At 41.2% G+C, this 20791-nt stretch overlaps 1 protein-coding gene across 10 annotated transcripts in view; it reads right to left on the bottom strand.

Moving 5' to 3' along the window:
- Positions 1-19801, bottom strand: part of CYP3A43 (cytochrome P450 family 3 subfamily A member 43) — a 38081-nt gene extending 18280 nt beyond the window's left edge. For 4 of the 10 annotated variants that reach the window (NR_103869.2, NM_022820.5, NM_057095.3 and 1 more), the window contains exons 1-5: positions 19628-19801; positions 11268-11361; positions 8642-8694; positions 3572-3671; positions 213-326 (exon numbers count right to left, since the gene is read on the bottom strand). Coding sequence is in view for 6 of the 10 variants with exons in the window: in NM_022820.5 (NP_073731.1) it covers positions 213-326; positions 3572-3671; positions 8642-8694; positions 11268-11361; positions 19628-19698 (432 nt within the window). In the remaining 4 variants the exon portion in view is untranslated. Of the gene's footprint in view, positions 1-154; positions 327-3571; positions 3672-8641; positions 8889-9015; positions 9138-11267; positions 11362-19627 lie in introns of those variants that run through there. The other 6 variants (NM_001278921.2, NR_103868.2, XM_047420745.1 and 3 more) reach the window with 6 other exon arrangements.

Below are 20791 nucleotides of genomic sequence, written 5' to 3'. Positions count from 1 at the left end.
TCTCAATCTCCTAACCTCAGGTGATCCACCCACCTCGGCCTCCCAAAGTGCTGGGATTACAGGCATGAGCCACTGTGCCCAGCTGAAAAGACCCTTTTTAGAAAGCTCAAACTCAGTGGACTACCCATTAGAAAGGAACTATGATGATACTTACTACCTGTCTCCAGATTCATCCTTTAAGTTTCTAATTATAAATCACCTTATTTTCTTACTTCCTTGAATTTTACACTGGTGAAAGCTGGAGATAGCAATGTTCGTATTCTCTTCCATTCTTCATCTTCAGCAAAACTTAAGGCACTTTTCAGAAATCCCATTGGACCTAAAGGCTTGAGTTCAAAGCAGAAGCAGTTTGTCCTACGTAAGTTTTAGAGATCTCCATAGTTGTAGAAAATGTGTTAAACAGGCATCATGAATTTAACAAATATTTAGTAACTATCTACTGGGTGGCAGGCTCTATACTAGATGCTCAATAAAGATTTATCTTGAATGTGTAGCCTCCTGTAAGCATATGGAAGGGGGATGGTGGAATCAAGGCAAATGGTGTGGTTTCCAGTCACTATATCCCAGTTTCCTTTTAAATGCATGGTTTCCACGTGGAAGAGAACCAGTTCTTCCAGTAGAATAGATGGGAACAAGACCTAGCAACTCCTCCAGGGTTGTGCAAAGCAGAAAGGGACTGGTGACAGATAGGCAGGTCGCCTTGGCAGATTGTACGTTGCCTCAGAGCAGCTGTGTCTTTAATACACCTATAGCATGAGAAACTTGACAAAGGGGTGGTTTGATTTAGTGACTTTTGAAAAAAAAATTAGTAATAAGCAAAAGACTAAGAATGCACTTTGAAGAAACAATGCAATTACATGAAAAGCCCCTTTCTTTTATTTTCCCCCCAGGATTAGAGGAAAAATAAAGAAAAGAATGCTATTTCCCAACTTGCGACAGGCCTATTAGTCCAATAACTTGAAACCTTCTTCCATCTTTCAAAACTGTATTTTAAAATGGATAATTTCAATGCTTATTTAGGATAAAACCTGGCAAACTAGGAAAAAGAGAAACGTCCTCAATTTGATATTCTGAAAAACATGGAAAAAAATATATACAAAAAACCTTCAGCTAAATCACACTTAATGGTGAAAAAAATGAATGCTTTCCTCCAAGATCAGAAACAATACAAAAATATCCACTCTCACCATTCTTATTCAACATCATATTGGATGTCTCAGTGCTATAGATGAGAAAAAAATTAAAGGCATACAGATTGGACGGCAAGAAATAGAAGGGCCTCTATTTTCGGGTGACATAAATGTCAATGTAGAACCTTTCTAGGAATATACAAAAAGACTTCTAGAGCTAAAAAGTGAGATTCAGCAAGGGTGTAGAACACAAGATCAACATGCAAAAATCAATCACATTTCTACGCCATAACAATGACTATCTGAAAATACAGTAAAAATATTCCATTTACATGTCAATGAAAATGAAATACTTTAGGTGTGAATCTAACAAAACACGTACAGGATCTCTATGCTAAAAATTACAAAACGTTGATGAAAGGACTAAAAGAAAACCTAAAGAAATGGAGAGGGATACTATGTTCATGTTTTGAAAGACTCAATGTAGTAAAGATACAGATTTTCCCTAAACCAACTTATAGGTTTAATTCAATACTTATCAAAATCTCAGCAGGTTTGTTTGTAGACATTGACAAGCTTGTTCTGAATTTTTATGGAAAGGAAAAGGGGCCAGGCGTGGTGGCTCATGTCTGTAGTCCCAGCACTTTGGGAGGCCCAGGCAGGTGGATCACCTGTGGTCAGGAGTTCGAGACCAGCCTGGCCAACATGGCGAAACCCCGTATCTACTAAAAATACCCCAGATTAGCTGGGCATGGTGCCGCATGCCTGTAATCCCAGCTGCTTGGGAGGGTGAGGCAGGAGAATCGCTTGAACCAGGGAGGCAGAGGCTAGAGTGAGCCGAGATCATGCCACTGCACTCCAGCCTGGGCTACAGAGCGAGACCGTCTTAAAAAAAAAAAAAAGCAAAAACAAGAACTAAAACAATAAATAAAGTGGGAGTAATCCCTCTACATGATGTTAATAGTTACCGTACAGCTACTATTGTCACCACAATGTGGTACTGGTGGAGGAATAAACACAGTGATCAATGGGACAAAACAGTGAATGAGAAACAGATGCGCAGGTTAGGTGTGGTGGCTCACGTCTGTAATCTCAGCACTTTGGGAGGTTGAGGTGGGTGAATCATTTGAGCCCAGGAGTTTGAGACCCGCCTGGCCAACATGGCAAAACCCCATCTCTACTAAAATACAAAAATTAGATGAGCACGGTGGTGCACAGCTGTAATCCCAGCTACTTGGGAGGCTGAGGCACAAGAATCACTTGAACCTGGGAGGCAGAGTTTGCAGTGAACTGAGATCGCGCCACTGCACTTCAGTCTGGGTGACAGAGCGAGACTCTGTCTCAATTAAAAAAAAAGAAAAAGAAAAAGAAAAAAAAGAGATGCACAGAAATCTGCTCAACTGATTTTTGACAATTGTGAAAAAGTAACCCCATAGAGGGAAAGTAACCTTTCCAAAAATGGTGTTGGAAAAATCACACAGCCACAGGCCACAGAAAGTGAACTATGACCTAAACTTTACATCTTATGCAAAAAATTAAGACAAAAAATTAACACAAAATGTATCATAAACTTAAATGTAAAGCATTGAACCATATAACTTTTTTTTTTTTTTTTTGAGACTGAGTCTTGCTCTGTTGCCAGGCTGGAGTGCAATGGCGCAATCTTGGCTCACTGCAACCTCTGCCTCCCGGGTTCAAGCGATTTTGCTGCCTCAGCCTCCCGAGTAGCTGGGACTACAGGTGCCCACCACCATGCCTGGCTAATTTTTGTATTTTTAGTAGAGATGAGGTTTCACCATGTTGGCCAGGATGGTCTTGATCTCCTGACCTCGTGATCCACCCACCTCGGCCTCCCAAAGTGCTGGGATTATAGGCGTGAGCCACCGCACCCAGCCTTAAACCATATAACTTTTAGAAAAAACACCAGCGACAAAGTGTGCTTGGAGAATAATTTTCAGACTTACAGTAAAAGCACAATCTATAAAAGAAAAATGGATAAATTGGCCTCACTGAAATAAAAAAAAAGTTTTCTCTACTATAGACCCTGCAAGGAGGAAAAGACAAGCTACACATAGTAACAACAGAATACCAGCAGGGAGCCTCCTGGTGCTAGAACAGATCTGTACATATTGTGCTGATAGTCATGCAATTATACACATGGGTACATTTGCATAATGCTACACACACACATATACACCCACACAAATGAGGGCATGTAAAGCAGGAACTCTGAATAAGTTCTGTGGATTGTGTCAATGGCAATTTTCTGTTACTAGAGTGACAGAAATACACTGTATCTACAGTTAAATAAGACATCACCATTGGGGGAAATAGGACGAAGTATAAAGCACTTTCCTGTCCATTTTCTGGGCAAGTTTCCATGAATATATAATCATTTAAGAATAAAAATTTGATTAATACATTTGAAAATATAGGCCTACCATCTGGTTTGTGAAGACAGAGTAACATTCTTTCACTAACACTGTTTTGATCATGTCGGGATCCATGATGACCAGCATGGGCTGTTGCCCCTCATACAGCCTGTGTGGGGGAAAACAGAGCTGACTAAACCTCGCTTGCCTGATTCTGCAGCTGGAACCACACCAAAGAATCCAGATTTTGATCCTGACATTCCATCATCCATACTTGCAGTTGTGCAATACACAGCAAAGCCAGCTCCAAGGTCAATTAGGGTATGACACAGAGTAAGATTCTCACCACGGAAGCCACTTAAGCCTTCATACAACGAAGGGTGATGTGGCTCAAACAGGAAAGAGTCATTGAAAGACAAAAGAGCTCTTCAAAGAGATCATGGTTAGAAATATCAGAAGCCTTTGTTACATCTAGGTGGTGTATACTTGGGCATTCCCTATACCATTCTCCATAATCTTTTGTATGTTTAAAATATTTCATTATAGGCTGGGTGCAGTGGCTCACACTTGTAATTCCAGCACTTTGGGGAGGCCGAGGTGGGTGGATCACTTGAGGTCAGGAGTTCGAGACAAGCCTGGCCAACATGGTGAAACCCCATCTCTACTAAAAATACAAAAATTAGCTGGGCGTGGTGGCTCACACCTGTAATCCCAGCTACTTGGGAAGCCAGGGCAGGAGAATCACTTGAACCCGGGAGGTGGAGGTTGCAGTGAGCCAAGATCGCATCACTGCACTCCAGCCTGGGCAATACAGCGACACTCCATCTCAAAATAAAAAAAAATAAAATAAACAGTTATGTAATCCTCTTCATTATTTTCTTTAAAAATACTGTCTTCTTTTATCTTCTTGTTAACCAAAAAGTGACAGAGACTGGAGCCTTGATTAATAGTTTCCTTTAGCCAAAGTTTGAGAATACATCTGGGAAGAACACCAGCCACAGGAGCCTCTGTGACCTGTGCTTTTTCTAAAGAGGGTTTTGGGAACTTCAGAATTTAAAGGAGAAAGAGCAAGCAGGAGAGAGAAGAAGGAGAGTGTGTAGGTAGTGAGGCAAATGGTCACATTCTTGTGAGGCTCTGAGAAGTGCTCAGCAAATCTGCATTTTGCATGTGAAAAGAGGGCATAGAGGAAAAAGTCAGTTATATATTTCTATTGTGATAAAGAAATCTCCATTTTACATAAAATAATGCAAACATATGAAAAGAGAGAATAGAGGCAAAGTCGATTACGCATTCAACTTGGATTGGGTGGAGGGATAATTTCTTGGTCTTGTCCTTGTCCTGTGCCTGCCAAGGTAAACTGGAAATTGACATTGTCAGGGTAAGTGAGATTCAACAGAACTTGGTTTTAAGGGCTGGTTCATGGGGGGAAGGAGGATATGTATACTAAAAGATTTAGGGACTCATAAGGAACGTCCTTGTGAGAAACTTACGAGGGACGCCATCTGGGGAGATATGTGGCCTTCTATCATTTTGGGAATCTGGCTTTCTTATGAGGTTATGACACAGCATTGTGAAATTACAGCTATATGATTTGAACTAAAGGAAGGCAGTATTGCATGACTCAGTTTCCAACCATAACTTTTCATTTTGGCATAGTGAGTTTGGTCAGATTTTTGCTCTTAATTTAGTCAAGATAACTTTTTTTTTCATAAAGGACCACAGTATGTTTTATTACGTAAAAAGTGTTAAAACTTTTGTATGAAAAGATACCGTAAACAAAGTTAAAAGACAGGAAAGAGACTAAGAGAAGATATTTGTACAAGAGTTAATATAGAGAATCTATAAAACTTCTATAAATGAAGGATTTACTTGATAAGTGAGAAAAGGATATTAATAAGCAATTCATAGGAAATGAAGTCTGAATTATCAGTAATATGAATGAGTAATTGACAATGATAAGCATGGGAAGTTCCTCAGTATTGGTAGAAGTCAGGAAAATGCAAACTAAAAAGATGCCATTTTTATTAAAATGGCAAAAATTACATTTAAAAGCATAGATTGGCAAAGATGGAGGGAAAGGATACTTTTTTATATAGCTAGGGAGATTGTAAATTAACAAGTTTCCTTTGCAGAGTTAGTTTGGCAGAAAATGGGCATAGAAAAAGAAGATAACTTTTAAGGATAGACATGACCATTTTATAAGTCCTTTAAAAAATTTGATCTTTTAATTAATTGTTTAGAATAAAAGGTCACTAAAATTTTAAATTTAGAAGTCTTAATTCAAAGGCTCCCACTATTTTGTCATTGACAATTAGAATTTCTAATGAAGTATTTATTATAACAGCACATAGAGAGAGAGAGGCTGGGAAGGTGGCCTTGTTATGCAAAGAAAACCTCGTAGGTAGTAGCCCTCAGAGTATGTGTCAGATCCTTTTCTACTCTTCCCTAGATTTAGACAAGGGAAGTTCTGGTAAGGCCACATTAAAATGTGTCAAAGTTGGGAGGCTGAGGTGGCAGGATCACTGGGAGGCAGAGGCTACAGTGAGCCAAGATGGTGCCACTGCACCAACCTGGGTAACAGAGTGAGACTCCATCTCAATTAAAAAAAATGTGTAGGCCGGGTGCAGTGGCTCATGCCTGTAATACCAGCACTTTGGGAGGCCAAGGCGGGCAGATCACCTGAGGTCAGGAGTTTGAGACCAGCTGGCAAACATGGGGAAACCCTGTCTCTACTAAAAATACAAAAATTAGCTGGGCATGGTAGTGAGTGCCTATAATCCCAGCTACTCAGGAGGCTGAGGCAGGGGAATTGCTTGACCCTGGGAGGTGGAAGTTTTAGTAAGCCGAGATCACCCCATTGCACTCCAGCCTGGGTGACAAGAGCAAGACTCCATCTCAAAAAAAGAAAAGTGTCAAAGAAATATATTTTGAGTTGCATATTGATTTCTCTTAACTGGCTGGGGTTTCTAGAGGGGAAAATTGACATTTTGTAGCTGTGGGCATTCCAGTAAACATTAGAGGGGGCCACGAATTGGTAAAACTTAGTGGAAGGTAGATTGAAACTCAAAACAGAAAGTTATCACACAATTTACATAGGGTCAAGATCTCCAAGCATAAGGGGAAGTTATAGCTAGCTGACAATAAACCTTGACCCTCAGCTACCAAATTCCAAAATGAAAAGCCACATCGGCTCCTTATGTGGAGACGGATCTCAAGCTAAAAACTGTTCATCATTATGGAAGCAGAAAACTCACCTTCCTTGTTGGAAGTAAGTAAAAACTCCCAGAAAGGAGCTCTATGGCAGAAGAAAATTCAGGTCTCAAGCAACATTTTATGGGAGATCAAGGATCTCTAGAAGGAGAAGCTCCCAGACCTCAGCACATGAGCCAATTGGTTAGAGTGATAAAAAGCTCTAGCTGGTTCTATCACACTGATGGGAAAATTTCTGCAGGCTGAGGGCCAAACTGCCCTCAGTGAATCCCATTGTGGTTACCAAGGTGTTAACCAAAAAGTGACTGAGGCAGGTGTCTTGATTGATAGAGGTTTATTGAGTCAAAGCTTGAGGGGACACCTGGAAACACATGAGCCACAGGGGTAGCTGCGACCTGTGTTTTTCCAAAGAGGGTTTTGGGAACTTCCGAATTTAAAGAGGAAAGAACCAGCAGGAAGGAAAAAAGGGGGGAAAGAGTAGGCAGTGTGGCAAATGATTACATTTGTGTAAGGCACCAATTAGCTCTCATCGAACCTGCACTTTACATGTGAAAAGACAGAGTAGAGGAAAAAATCAATTATGCATTCATGTTGTACTCAGAAAATCTACATTTTACATGAGATATACATGTGAAAAGAAAGAGTAGAGGAAAAGTCAGTTACATATTCATCTCAAGGTAGGTGGAGGGATGATTTCTGGTCTTGTCCTTATTCTGTACCTGTGATAAGCTGGTAATTTACATGATCAAGGTGTGAGTCAACAGAACTCAATGACAGGGCTGGTTTATAGGGCAGATGTATAGAATTCCATGTGAGCAACTTGTGAGGGAAACCATCCAGAAAGATATGTAGCCTTCTATTGATATAGGAGCCAGAAAAAAATTATTTAGGCAGATAGTGAGGGCAAAGGGGTCCTCAGCAAAGCTTCCCTTTTAACAAAAAGCAGCCCCCCAAATCATTTCTTTTCTAACAAAGAGCAGCCTGAAAAAATCAAGCTGCAGACATCGATAAGCAAGCTGGAAGCTTGCACGGGTAAATGCTGGCAGCTGTGCCAATAGAAAAGGGCTACCTTGGAAGCTGGTTATGTTCAACATGGAGGCCCCATCTTCCCTTATCTTTGTCACCCCATTTACAGTAAAAAAAGCAGGCAACATGGTGCCAGCCAGGAAGAGAACCATCTGCATAATAAAAGATTAGGGTGGGGCAGCCAACTTCTTCACATGTTATGCAAACAGTACACCTAGTCCTAACCAGTTTTTTATGTGCTATGCAAATGACACACCTGGTCCAACCAATCTTTCATGCCCTATGTAAATCAGACACTGCCTCCTCAAGCTCATCTATAAAACCTCCTGCACTTTACCGCAGGTCAGAAGACCCACTGGGGGCCCCCTCTCTCGGCAGGAGAGAGCTTTTCTCTTTCTTTCACCTATCCAACCTCTGCTCTTAACCTTATTCTTTGTGCGTCCACTATAGGGAGACCCCCTATATCTGTGGGACAACAAACCTCGGGTATTACCCCAGACGAGTGATGCCACATTGCTATTGTTGTGGGAATGTGGCTTATGTATGAAGCTATTACCCAGGGTTGTGAAATTACAGCTATCTGTCTGGGGAAAAAAGGAAGGCAGTAAGGTATGACTTAATTCTCAAGCTCGATTTTCCCTTTGTCATAGTGAGTTTAGGGTCTCAAAGATTTTATTTTTGTTCACATACTGAATATGCATGGAGTTTCCTATGACACGCATATTCCCCTTGCAATGCTCAATTCCCAGATCATCTTTTTCTTTTAGATAGCCTCTCTCTGTTTGTTACTTAGGTTGACAATAGCATTATCCAAACAAAATCTGGGCTGAGATTGTTCTCTCTGCAGTAAAATAACTCAGCATAGCAACAGCTCTATCCAATGCAAGTTTCCAGAATACTCACCCCCACATTTCTCCGTATTTTTCATTACATTCTCTGTCAAAATTCCAAAGACCCTGGCAGAAGAAACAAAATACAATTCAAGTATTATTTCGAATGTACTGAACGCTACATTTAACCAGGGCAAAAAAGTCAAATCCAATGACTTGCTACCATTAGGCTTGCTACCATTTACTGGCAGTTAGAGGGAATCTTTTTTTTTTCCTTTTTTTCTGCTGCCCAGGCTGGAGTGCAATGGTGCGATCTTGGCTCATTGCAACCTCTGCCTTCTGGGTTCAAGCTCTTCTCCTGCCTCAGCCTCCCAAGTAGCTGGGATTATGGGGGCCCGCCACCACACCCAGCTAATTTTTGTATATTTAGTAGAAATAGGGTTTCACCATGTTGGCAAAGCTGGTCTCGAACTCCTGACCTTAGGTGATCCTCCTGCTTCAGCCTCCCAAAGTGCTGGGATTACAGGCGTGAGCCACCACGCCCAGCTGGGAATCTTATTCAGAGACCTCTTAAGGAAAAGGAGAGAAAATACAGAAGATATTTGAAATGGAGAATTTAAAGTCACTTTTAAATTTTCTCTAACTAGTGTAGATATTGAATGACTTACTTCTGTCTATGAACACTAAGCAACTCATTGTCTTTCTGATGTGTTTTCATTTCTGCATATGTTGTCTCTGCAATCTCATAAACCCCTGAATTATCACCACCATGGGAACATGAAGAAACCGAGGCTGACGGAAAGTGAGTGAGTGTCTCAAGGGAATGTGCAATCTTTTATCTCCTTGTTCAGCATCCTTTTCATTTATCTCATGTATTCTCTCTAGAATTCTAGCTGAATTAGAAAGTCAAAAACATCAGGGACCACTTTTAGTCTAGCAGATTTAAATAAAAGTCCAAGGCATTTTGTTGAGCGAGAAAATGAGTGAGTGGGCAAATGACAGAGTGGACTCACTTTCCAGTTTTCCAGCTTAACACATAATAAGTGTGGGAAATGCCACCTCTAGATGTCAGACACAGCACATTACAATACTCACTCAGAGTTTTCACTTCTGACACTTAAAAACAAACTTTCCTGCTTCCTTGTTTCAGTTTTGATGTTCTAACTAGGCAACATATAGCCCAGGACATGTGGATTTACTAAAGGATCGATCTGGGAAATATGAAGAGAAAATTATTGCTTTTTCGGGGGGTAAAAAAGGATGAAATTCTTAAGTGGTAATTTTGCAATGAAGGCCTCAGTTGGGAGAATTAGAATCTGAAAAACAAGCCTCAGGTCTGTAAGACAGAAAACCTGAGTCAGAGAGCAACCTGTACACAGGCTTTCTTACTGGCCATGTGGACACGCACTTGTGACTTTCCATCATGGCCCCAGGCCCTTGGTGGAGCATCAGACCAGGGTAGCCACAAGGCTCAGTCAAAATTCGAAGACTATGAGACACATATTACCTCCTGTTTAGATAATTAAATTTTGAATAAGTTTGTCAAATTATCCCCTTTCTAGTTATTTTGTTAAGTAATTTTGCCTTTCTTTTAAAAAAAAACAGAACTCATTTTGTGGTTAAATATCTGAAGTTGATGGACAGCCTCCATATTGTCTTCATTATAAGCACTCCCTGCTCAGGCTCACTCATAGGGTGCTGCCTTTGAAGAAAAGCAGCAGGAAAGCAGAACCTTCTTGTTCTTCCTCTCAAATCTGTAAAATACATCCTGGGGAGAAGAAGCTGGAGCACAACTGTGGAACTACCTGCAGGGAATTTAACAGTTCTTGAGAGAATTCAAGTATGTGCAAATTATCCAGCGGTAAATAGCTGCCTAGTGAACTGAATTTTCTTTTTCTTTTTTTCTTTTCTTTTTTTTTTTTTTTTTGAGACACAGTCTCGCTCTTTCACCCAAGCCAGAGTGCAGTGGCGCTATCTCGGCTCACTGCAAGCTCCGCCTCCCGGGTTCACGCCATTCTCCTGCCTCAGCCTCCCGAGTAGCTGGGACTACAGGCGCCCGCCACTGCGCCCGGCTAATTTTTTTTTTTTTTTTTTTTGTATTTTTAGTAGAGACAGGGTTTCACCGTGTTAGCCAGGATGGTCTCGATCTCCTGACCTCGTGATCCGCCCGTCTCGGCCTCCCAAAGTGCTGGGATTACAGGCGTGAGCCACCGCGCCCAGCCAATGAACTGAATTTTCAAAGCTCTACAGGAGGAAGGAAACAAAAGCTTACTAAAGCTCTTGGTGAAAACAGGAAAGTTTGAATGTGGTACATGATGCTAATGAGCGCTACTGGGGCTCCCATTTCCCCATTTCTGCTTTTCTCTTAATACTAAGGACAACTGTAGCTTCTCAAAAATCTGCACAGGGCAAAAGGAAAGTCCTCTTTATGGTTCGCAAAGTCTGAACATCAAGTCCTGAACATCGAGTGCTGATCCCCCAGATATCTGTGCCGTGCAACTGAGGCAAACCCAAACCCCCTGACCATTAAGATGAGAGTCCTGGTATAAACCTGGCCCTGCTCTGGGTGGAGCATACACACCATTTCTGAAAGTGTAAAACATTGGAAATTCCTCCTGAGGAGGAGCATTTTTACTGATAGGACTAAGCTTGGGTTTGCATCGATAAGAAGCAAAAGAGGGAGCTCAAATAACACTTACCCTAAGGTAGAACAAAATAGTTCCCAGAAAAGGCAGAGGGGTTGGCCCAGGAATTCCCAGCTTCTTAAAAAGTTTATGTGAATGGGTCCCATAACTATAAAATAAAAGAGAAAGCCAGGTTACAGAAATTGTAACTTTATAGATAAGGGGTTGGCCAGACATTACCTCAGGAACTGGAATGTTCAAGGGAGGGAGGTAACATGGAGGCAATAAATAACAACAGAAACTCTGATGGCAATAATTACATTTTATAGCAGGATTTTAAGGAATCAGAGAGACCAATGGGGTTCAGGAGGATATTTATTAATTATTTAGGTACACTGGGCCAGTCAGATTAACATCCAAAGGACTGAGCCTCACTTTCTTCCAAGCCTGACTTTTCGGGTGCTCCTGACTCTGCTTCCTGCCTTATTCTGACCAAAGACAGATATACTGGCACACATGGGGATGGACATTCCCTTTCCTCAGGTGGGGCCTGAATAATTGATTTCGGCTGATCTTTGGGGATTCCTGCAAGCTCTGCTCTAGTTACATCTCGGAAGCTGACTAGTCTATGCACAGCCGAAGCTAAGAGTACCATCTCTGGATAAGTAAATGTGGATACAATTTACAAGCCTAGTTATAATTCTGTCAGTACTGATTGTTCTGTTGTTACGTTATTACTGCAAATGCTGCAAATGTCTATGCCCAGAGGAAGGTTTGCCATTCCCACGTGTAGTGTAAGCATGTTTCTATTACATACGCTAATGTTGTTACCATTTCTGCCTACACTAAAAGGGGAGAAATCTCTAGAAGGATGCCCACACTGTGTACACACTACCTGGGTAAGGAATACCATAGTCAAAACTCTACTGTACCATAACTACTATGAATGTGCAGGAACCAAGTTAGAAACCTGCACATACAACCAGACCACCTATTCAGTCTGTGACCCAGGAAATAATCAGCTATATGTATGTTATGACCCTAAGCTCTCACCCTATGAATTCTGGCTTGAGGTACATGTTAAATCAGAGGGAGAAAAAGAAGGAGAGCTTATAGCTCAAACCAAAGAAGCCCTTCCCCTCTATAACAGGCCTATTTCCTTGTATTTTGATGCCTACCATACCGCATATGTTCATAATCCTAAAAAACCAGAAGCAGTCTGCAATGGTTTGACACGAGAGGCTTATCAGCAGCAGTCCTAAACATCTGTACAGAGAATGACAAATCGGATGCCCAGACTGTAACATTAAGTGGTCTACACTGACACAACACCAACACCTATATTCAGGGAAGACTGTTCTGCTAAGTAGTATGTCAACCAAACCAGATCGTAAGACAAAGACATGCAATCCTTTAAATTTTACTATCTTAAAGCCAGAGCTACCTTTTTGGTCTACAGGACAGACAGCACTATTAAGAGTTGATAGGCAAGGAGCAGGCCTTAGAATTCCACTACTGATTGTCAAAAAGACTAGAAGAACTCAGATGTGTCCAACCCCACAATTCTGGGTTCATAAGTCATTCTATAAGCATTTTGATCAGCCGGTGCCCGAGCTTCCCCCATCAACCAAAAACTTATTTGCTCAACTAGCTGAAAACATAGCTGGCAGCTTAGGAATTTCCTCATGCTATGTATGTGGAGGAACTAATATGGGGGACCAGTGGCCATGGGAGGCAAAGGAATTAATGCCACAAAATAACTTCACTTCGCTTAACCCTACCAGTGAACCAACAGCCTCAACCAGTGTTTGGTTGTTAAAAACCTCCATAATTGGAAAGTACTGTATTGCCCAATGAGGAAAGGCTTTCACAGGGGCAGTAGGAGAAACAATCTGCCTAGGGCAACAGTATTATGATGAGACTAAAAACAAAACTCTATTGAAGAAATGCCCAGAACAACTCCTACTTACAAGATCAAAACCCTTTCCCTCCACTGTCTATTCTAAGCCGCACTTGGCATCGGCTAGAGGCTCCAAATGCTTAGAAAGCACCCTCTGGCCTATATTGGACCTGTGGAGCACAGGCATATCAGCTGCTGACTAAATGGACAGGGGAATGTGTGTTAGAAACAATCAAGCCATCCTTCTTTCTAATTCCTCTAAAGCCAGGGGAACTCTTAGGATATCCAGTTTATGATGAAAATAAAAGAACTAGAAGAGGCATAATCACAAAAATAAACACAAATATCAAAAAAGATGTGGACATAGGAGACTGGAAAGATAACAAATGGCCTCCTGAAAGAATCATTAAATACTATAGGCCAGCTACCTAGGTGCAAGAAAGGTCATGGGGGTACCGTACCCCCATCTATATGCTCAACTGCATCATAAGGTTGCGGGCAGTCCTTGAAATTATAACCAATAAAACATCAAGGGCACTAGATTTATTGGCAATACAAGCAACACAAATGAGAAATGCTATATATCAAAATAGGCTGGCTTTAGATTTCCTCTTAGCCTCAGAAGGAAGAGTATGTGAAAAATTTAATTTAACCAATTGTTGCTTAGAAATCGATGATAATGGCCTAGCTGTCATGAAAATCACAGCTAGAATGTGCAAGATGGCACATGTTCTAGTTCAGACTTGGTCCAGGTGGTCCCTGGATTCCTTATTTGGAGGATGGTTGTCAGCCTTTGGAGAATTCAAAACCCTCATTAGTGAGTTCTTGCTTATTTTTGGCATTTGCCTCATCCTCCCTTGCCTTTTACCCCTGTTTATTAGGAGTATTCAGTCAACTATAGAGGCAATAGTAGCCTGACACGCTACCGCACAGTTGTGGCATTAACCAGATATCAGCTGCTGCCGGTAGAAGAAAAAGCTCAGCTCCGCGAGGAGGTGGCAAATAGTGGTGCTTTCTATTAACACTTCTGTTGTAAAAAGCACCAAAGGGGACAATGGAACAGGAATTAAAAGAAATTAAAGAGTGCGTAAGCAGAAACTGAGTTGTATATGAAAAAAACCCAACTTCCCCTGAAAAAGAGAAAGAGCTGGAGTCTTTTAAAAACTAACTGCCTGTTTTTCTGAGGCTAGTGAGCCTTATCTCTCCTCCCTTCCCAGGCATTGCAAAGACCCTGTTTCCCTAGCTGTGCAGCTGCAAGGTCACTAGACAGATAAACTCAAGTCACAAAACGTGTTTTTCCTTGAAATGTAAGAAATGATGTAATGCATTTCTCAATTGAATAACTGTGTTTGTTTCTTACTTCTCTAGTATGCTTCCCTCTCCACAGATCTCCCCCCTCCCACGAAATGCTTAAAAGGTAACTAAACTCTTTGTTCAGAGCTCAGTCCTCTGGATGTTAATCCGACTGGGCTGGTGCACCTAAATAATTAATAAATATCCTCCTGAACCCCATCAGTCTCTCTGATTCCTTAAAATCCCACTACATTTCAATCCTCATCTTTTTTGCTGCCTCCTCTGTGAGACCCCAAAAAGTCACAATGATTAACTAAAAGCAGCTGAAGTCTGCATGATCCCAGTGCTAGAGTGAATGCTTAATAAATGTTCCCAAATTTGAGTGCCCTTAAGAGGTTCAGACTGGAATTCTTCCAGGGCATTTCATTCACGTATGTCTATTTAGTTAATTGATTCTTTCCTGATTTGGAAATTCTCTTTCTAGGTGTATTAGTCCATTTTCACACTGCTATAAAGAACTACCTGAGACTGGGTAATTTATAAAGAAAAGAGGCTTAATTGACTCACAGTTCTCCATGGCTGGGGAGGCCTCAGGAAACTTAAAATCATGGTGGAAGGTGAAGGGGAAGCAAAGCATGTATTACATGGAGGCAGGAGAGAGAGAAAGACAGAGAGAGAGAGAAGAGGTGTCACACTTTTTTTTTCTTGTTTTGTTGTTTTGTTTTTTTTTCTATTATTATTATACTTTAAGTTTTAGGGTACATGTGCACAACGTGCAGGTTTGTTACATATGTATATATGTGCCATGTTGGTGTGCTGCACCCATTAACTCATCATTTAGCATTAGGTATATCTCCTAATGCTATCCCTCCCCCCTCCCCCCACCCCACAACAGTCCCCGGTGTGTGATGTTCCCCTTCCTGTGTCCATGTGTTCTCATTGTTCAATTCCCACCTATGAGTGAGAACATGCGGTGTTTGGTCGAGGTGCCACACTTTTAAAACCATCAGATCTTGTGAGAATTCATTCACTATCATGAGAACAGCATGGGTGAAAACACCCCTATGATCCAATTCCTCCCACCAGGTCCCTTCCTTGACACATAGGGATAACAATTCAAGATGAGATTTGGCTGGGGACACAGAGCCAAACCATATCACTAGGTGAGGTTTTTTTTTTTTATCTTTTGAACTAATAATGAGTTTGTGTATCACTACATCCATTGAATTACAGAGGGTTACTGAGGCCCTTTGCTGACACCTTCTTTCCTGTTTTCTCAGAGGTGTTTATGCTTTTCCTTCCCTCTAAACACTGACCTTGTTTTAGGATCTGGCCATCCTTAAACATTCCTGCACAGAGGAGCTCTGGAAGAATCATAGTGTTCTTATTTCTATGGAATGACAACCATATTCAAGGCTTCCACTGGCTTCATAGAAATGTGAGCACCTTCCAGCTACACCCAAATCTCTGTGGTCAGATGATTTGATTGATATAAACTACAGTAAATGTGATTGACCTATATGTTCTCTGAATGGCACTATGCAGAGGAACCAATGACTAAAGAATAAATTTCAAGGCCATTCCTCCTCTTGTGCAATCTGGCCCTCCAACTGGTGATCCTTACTTGATAAGCACAATGCCAGTCATGCTCACTTTTTTTTTTTCTCAAAATGATCAGTCACACAGAGTCAGTTTACTGCTTCTGTACATCAACTATCCTGCAGGAAAACCCATTAAGTCTGGTGCTCCTTATGGCAGGCCTGCCTGCAACTCATCTTTGATGGGTTATGTGTGAACTCCATCAATTGCAGGTTCTGGATCCTTGCAGAACTTCCCACTCTGGTGTTACTGAGGGATGGAAGACTGGAGGAAAAAGAGAGGCTGCATCCCGCCGATGTAACCATGCAACTGCTGGTGCCACAAAGTAGGCCCTATAAGGGTAAGTTAGGAAAGTGTGGCTGAAAATTATGGTATGCATAAATAGTTTTAAATGCCCCTTATGTGCTTTCAGCTGAAAGAGAGGTCTTCCAAAATTCAGGAACATTTCTGTTGATAGAAAAGTTTCACTGTGCTACATAGCATAAGTAACCATAAAATATTCCAGACAGTTGAATTAGAAACTTGATTTCTCTTCTTTATAGGTTAGCTTTTCTTAGATCCTAAATATTCAGTACAAATAAATAAATCTTATAAAATGTGATAAAGCTGAAAAATTGCATGAAGAGAATGTGTTTGAAGGACCCCACAGTGGCACCCTGGCCAGGCCCAGCTGTTAGCTTGGTTCCCTCTTTGGGGATCTTTTCCTACTCACACATCGAAAATAACCTCTTGGGTTTCCAGTTGTTTATAATCCATTATCTGCCCATGCTAAATTCTGGTTGTTAGTCTAGGTAGATCAAAACTCATAGTCAATCAGAAAGCATCCCCAGGATTGAATGATGTCAGTAAACACTCTTAGTAACAGAAATTGGAAGTTGAATGAAGAGGAGGTGGATAATGTTTATTTACTTCTTCAACGGATCTGTGTAACATCTGTAGGGTCAAGAGAACATTCCTCTATGGAGGTTTGATATTTGAGTCTGAGAAATGAACTAACAGTAGATCAATTAATAGGAGATAATCCTTATAAATTTATCTCATGAATATGCATGGGAGCCTTGAAAGATATGATACTCAAAGAATGGCCTGATGATTGAAGCTTAAATAGCATTCTGAGCTATAAAAATGTAGTATCTTCTGATGGGGAGTGGGTGACACAAGACATGAGAGAGTGAGGGAAGAAAAAGCATGATAAACAAAAGTCATCTTATTATAATGTCTGTCAGGCATCAGTGCTCCAAAGAACAAGTATTATCAACCTTAGTCTCCCTTTCTGTGAGCTAATATTATTTTTTTCTTTTTTTTTTCTTTTAGACTAAGTTTTGCTCTTGTTGTTCAGGCTAGAGTGCAATGGCGCAATCTTGGCTCACTGCAACCTCTGCCTCCAGGGTTCAGGCGATTCTCCTGCCTCAGCCTCCCGAGTAGCTGGGATTGCAGGCACCTGCCACCACACCCAGCTAATTTTTGTATATTTAGTAGAGACAGGGTTTCATCATGTTGACCAGGCTGGTCTTGAACTTCTGACCTCACGTGATCCACCCACCTCGGCTTTCCAAAGTGCTGGAATTACAGGTATGAGCCACCATGCCTGGCCCTGCTAAGATTCTTTTTCATGAGATTATAGGGAGGGGGCTCAAGACCATTGCTTTTTTTTAGGAGGATCTTCCTTTAGGTATGAGAACTTCAGAGAAAGCCCCTTCCTATATTTTGGGAGAAATAGCAGGGTTGGGAGACAGGAGAACATAAGAGTTAGCTTGGTTCTGAAGACTTTCTGAGACCTTTCAATTTCCTTTGGTTCAAAGTCCTCAACATGCTTAAGTGCCATATTTTGGGGTTTCATTTTTGGAGCCCCAACTTTCCCCTGTCATAAACTTCCCTAGAAAATGTACATACTAAAGCTGAGTTGATGCTTGTGGAGAGGACAATTGAATTGGTAGCTGAGTCGCAAGGAATCACATTAAACCAGTATAAACCAGTCTCACATTCCTAGCAATGTCAATCCAGTTAAACAGCTGTGCCTCATTTCAGGAGGTGATGTTGCAGGTCTGCTGTCATGAAAGATAGGTCTGTATATGGTGCAGTTAAACAGGTACTTAATAAGAGGTCATTCTACCAAAGCAAAAGGAGACCAAAAGTTAATCATTTAGCAGACTAGTTTCTGAGTTCACAGGGCAGCCAGACAAAAAGATTTCTACATGTTGGTTTTGAAACAGCTCCAGTTGGAGTAGAGGTAGGCAATGGTGATCTGACAGATTTTTTTTCTCTCCTATAGCTCCTTAGGGCCAGATCTGAAAGACTTTAAGTTGTTGCAATTTCTCTGGAGTCTGCTCTATCACAAAGAATTCTGCAAAAATCACATTTCCTGCCTTTGTGGACCAAACCAATGTATTTCTTAAATGTATTTGATATCTCATGCCTCCCTAAAAGAATAAAACCAAGCTGCACCCTGACCACCTTGGGTACATGTTCTTAAGACCTCCTGAAGGCTGTGTCATGGGCCATGGTCACTCATATTTGGCCCAGAATAAATCTCTTCAAGTATTGTACAGAGTTTGGCTCTTTTTGTTGGCAGCATGTATTAACTCATTCTCTATTACAATTCCCCTGTCTTGATGAATGGGCTCTGTTGAGGCAGGGGGCAAGGTGAATCTCTTGGGTGGTTACAGTGAAAATCCATACAAAATTTTACATGCATATGTGCTGGAGGCCCACAATATATGAGACTAAAATAAGGACTGAATGAGTAAAGCTTAAATAGCATTGTAAGCTAAAAAGTAGGGAGTGGCTTCTGATAGGGAGTTTCTGACACAAGTTATGGGAAGGTGAAGGGAGAAAACACATGATGAACAAAGGTTATTTTATTGTGGAGATAAAGTCTCTCAGGTAGCAGTGCTCCAAAGAATAAGTATTATCAAACTTTTTCTCTTTTCCTGTGAATTAGTTTTCTGATTGATGAGATTATTTGGAGAGGCTCAAGACAATTGCATTCTTTTTGGAAGATCTTCCCTTAGTCAGATAAGAGAACTTCAGAGCAACCCTGCACTTCAGGAGGGAAAGAATGGGGGATGGGTAGACAGAAGAGGGTCAGAGATTCTGAAGACATTTGTGAAGTCTTTCAGTCTTCTTTAGTTCAAACTACTCAGTATGACAAAGTTTTATTTTTTTTTTTGAGACGGAGTCTTGCTCTGTCACCCAGGCTGGAATGCAGTGGTGCAATCTCCGCTCACTGAAACCTCTGCCTCCTGGGTTCAAGCGATTCTCCTGCCTCAGCCTCCCAAGTAGCTGGGATTACAGGTGTGTGCCACCATGCCTGACTAATTTTTGTATTTTTAGTAGAGAAGGGGTTTCACCATGTTGGTCTGGCTGGTCTTGAACTCCTGACCTTGTGATTGGCCTGCCTCCACCTCCCAAGTGCTGAGATTACAGGTGTGAGCCACCGCACCCAGACTAAATTTTACATTTTCAAATGTTGTATTAGGAGTCCTAACATATTAATAATATTTTATGTGTTCACAGTATTTGGCACTTAGGTAACTTCCCCTCCGTTATCTCTTTTATCTTCAAAACAAATAAGAAAAAGATGGGCCCAATTAGCACTTCAGGTCTTAGAGTTAAGAGCAAACATGCCTGCATAGTTACTCACATATAGAGGAGTACCAGGCTGGTAGCCACAAGAACCCATGTTTCCATGGCAAAGTTTGGAATGAGATCCATCACCAGTTTTCTTTTTCAGCTCTGTCTTCTGAGTTTTTCTTTCAGCTGTGTGCTGCTCTTTGCTGGGCTGTGCATATAGAGCTTTGTTTCTCTGCCCAGAGGTGATTTAGTTAATGTTAACAGCGATATTTATGTGCTGGAGAAGGAGGTGGGTCTACAGCGGCAGCCAGTAGAAAAGCCACTTATGCTACTCCTCATATGGAGGGATTTGGGTACCCTTTTCAAATTGACAATTGGCAAATAATTATGGCTGTCCTTATTTTGGCCTCCTTTGATTTCCTATTCTGTGAACAATCAGTAAACAAATCAGTCACTGCTATTGGTAAGCCCAAAGGTTATAGATTCTCAGGAACCTAAAGAAAAATACTTCTGCAAGAACATCTGCCCAGCAACTGCCTGTCCAACCTCAAACTGATGTCAGTCTTGTTATTGATCTTTATAGCCAAGGATAATCATTCCAAAACAAATATGTAATCCTTCTCATTATTTTTTTAAACTTTGTCTTACTTTACCTACCTGAATAAGCACATAGTTTACCTTGGCACGCATATTCCCATTGCAATGCTTTATTCCCAAATAAAAATAATTCTTTTTAGAAAGCCTATCTCTGTTTGTTATCTAGGTTGCCAAATCATGCCTCCAGGTAAACAGACAAGAAGGACTCCCTGTGCCTCAAAAGCAAAAACAAACCCAAGAGGCCATGGCAGGTTTAGGTGATGGTCATGTTCTCTGTGTTCTTAGTAAGTGTTGCAAAACCTATTTTTCTGTAGCCAAGTCAAATAACATTTTCTGAAAAAATCTGTACCTGGGAATTTTCCAACTGCTCACCAACAGATCATGTGGTAAGAACTAACTGACCACCTAGGAACAGCCAATTAAGAGACATGTGACTTGGGGCTTAAAGGCTGTCTAATCAAGACTCTTTTCTTCACTCCTCTGACTCCTCTATCCTGCTCTGTGGTTTTTGACTTTATAGCTCTCCACCTCCGAGGCTGCATCTCCTCAATCTGCAGACTGTGTTTTATAGAAAATGAAGCTCTCCCTCTGTCCTCCACAGATCCCACAATCTTTACTCATATTTCCTGGTGATGAG

The sequence above is a fragment of the Homo sapiens genome, chromosome 7 (genome assembly GCF_000001405.40).
Source record: "Homo sapiens chromosome 7, GRCh38.p14 Primary Assembly".
NCBI lineage: Eukaryota > Metazoa > Chordata > Mammalia > Primates > Hominidae > Homo > Homo sapiens.
Note: the sequence above shows the minus strand (reverse complement) of the source record. Positions and strands in the feature narration are given on the sequence as shown.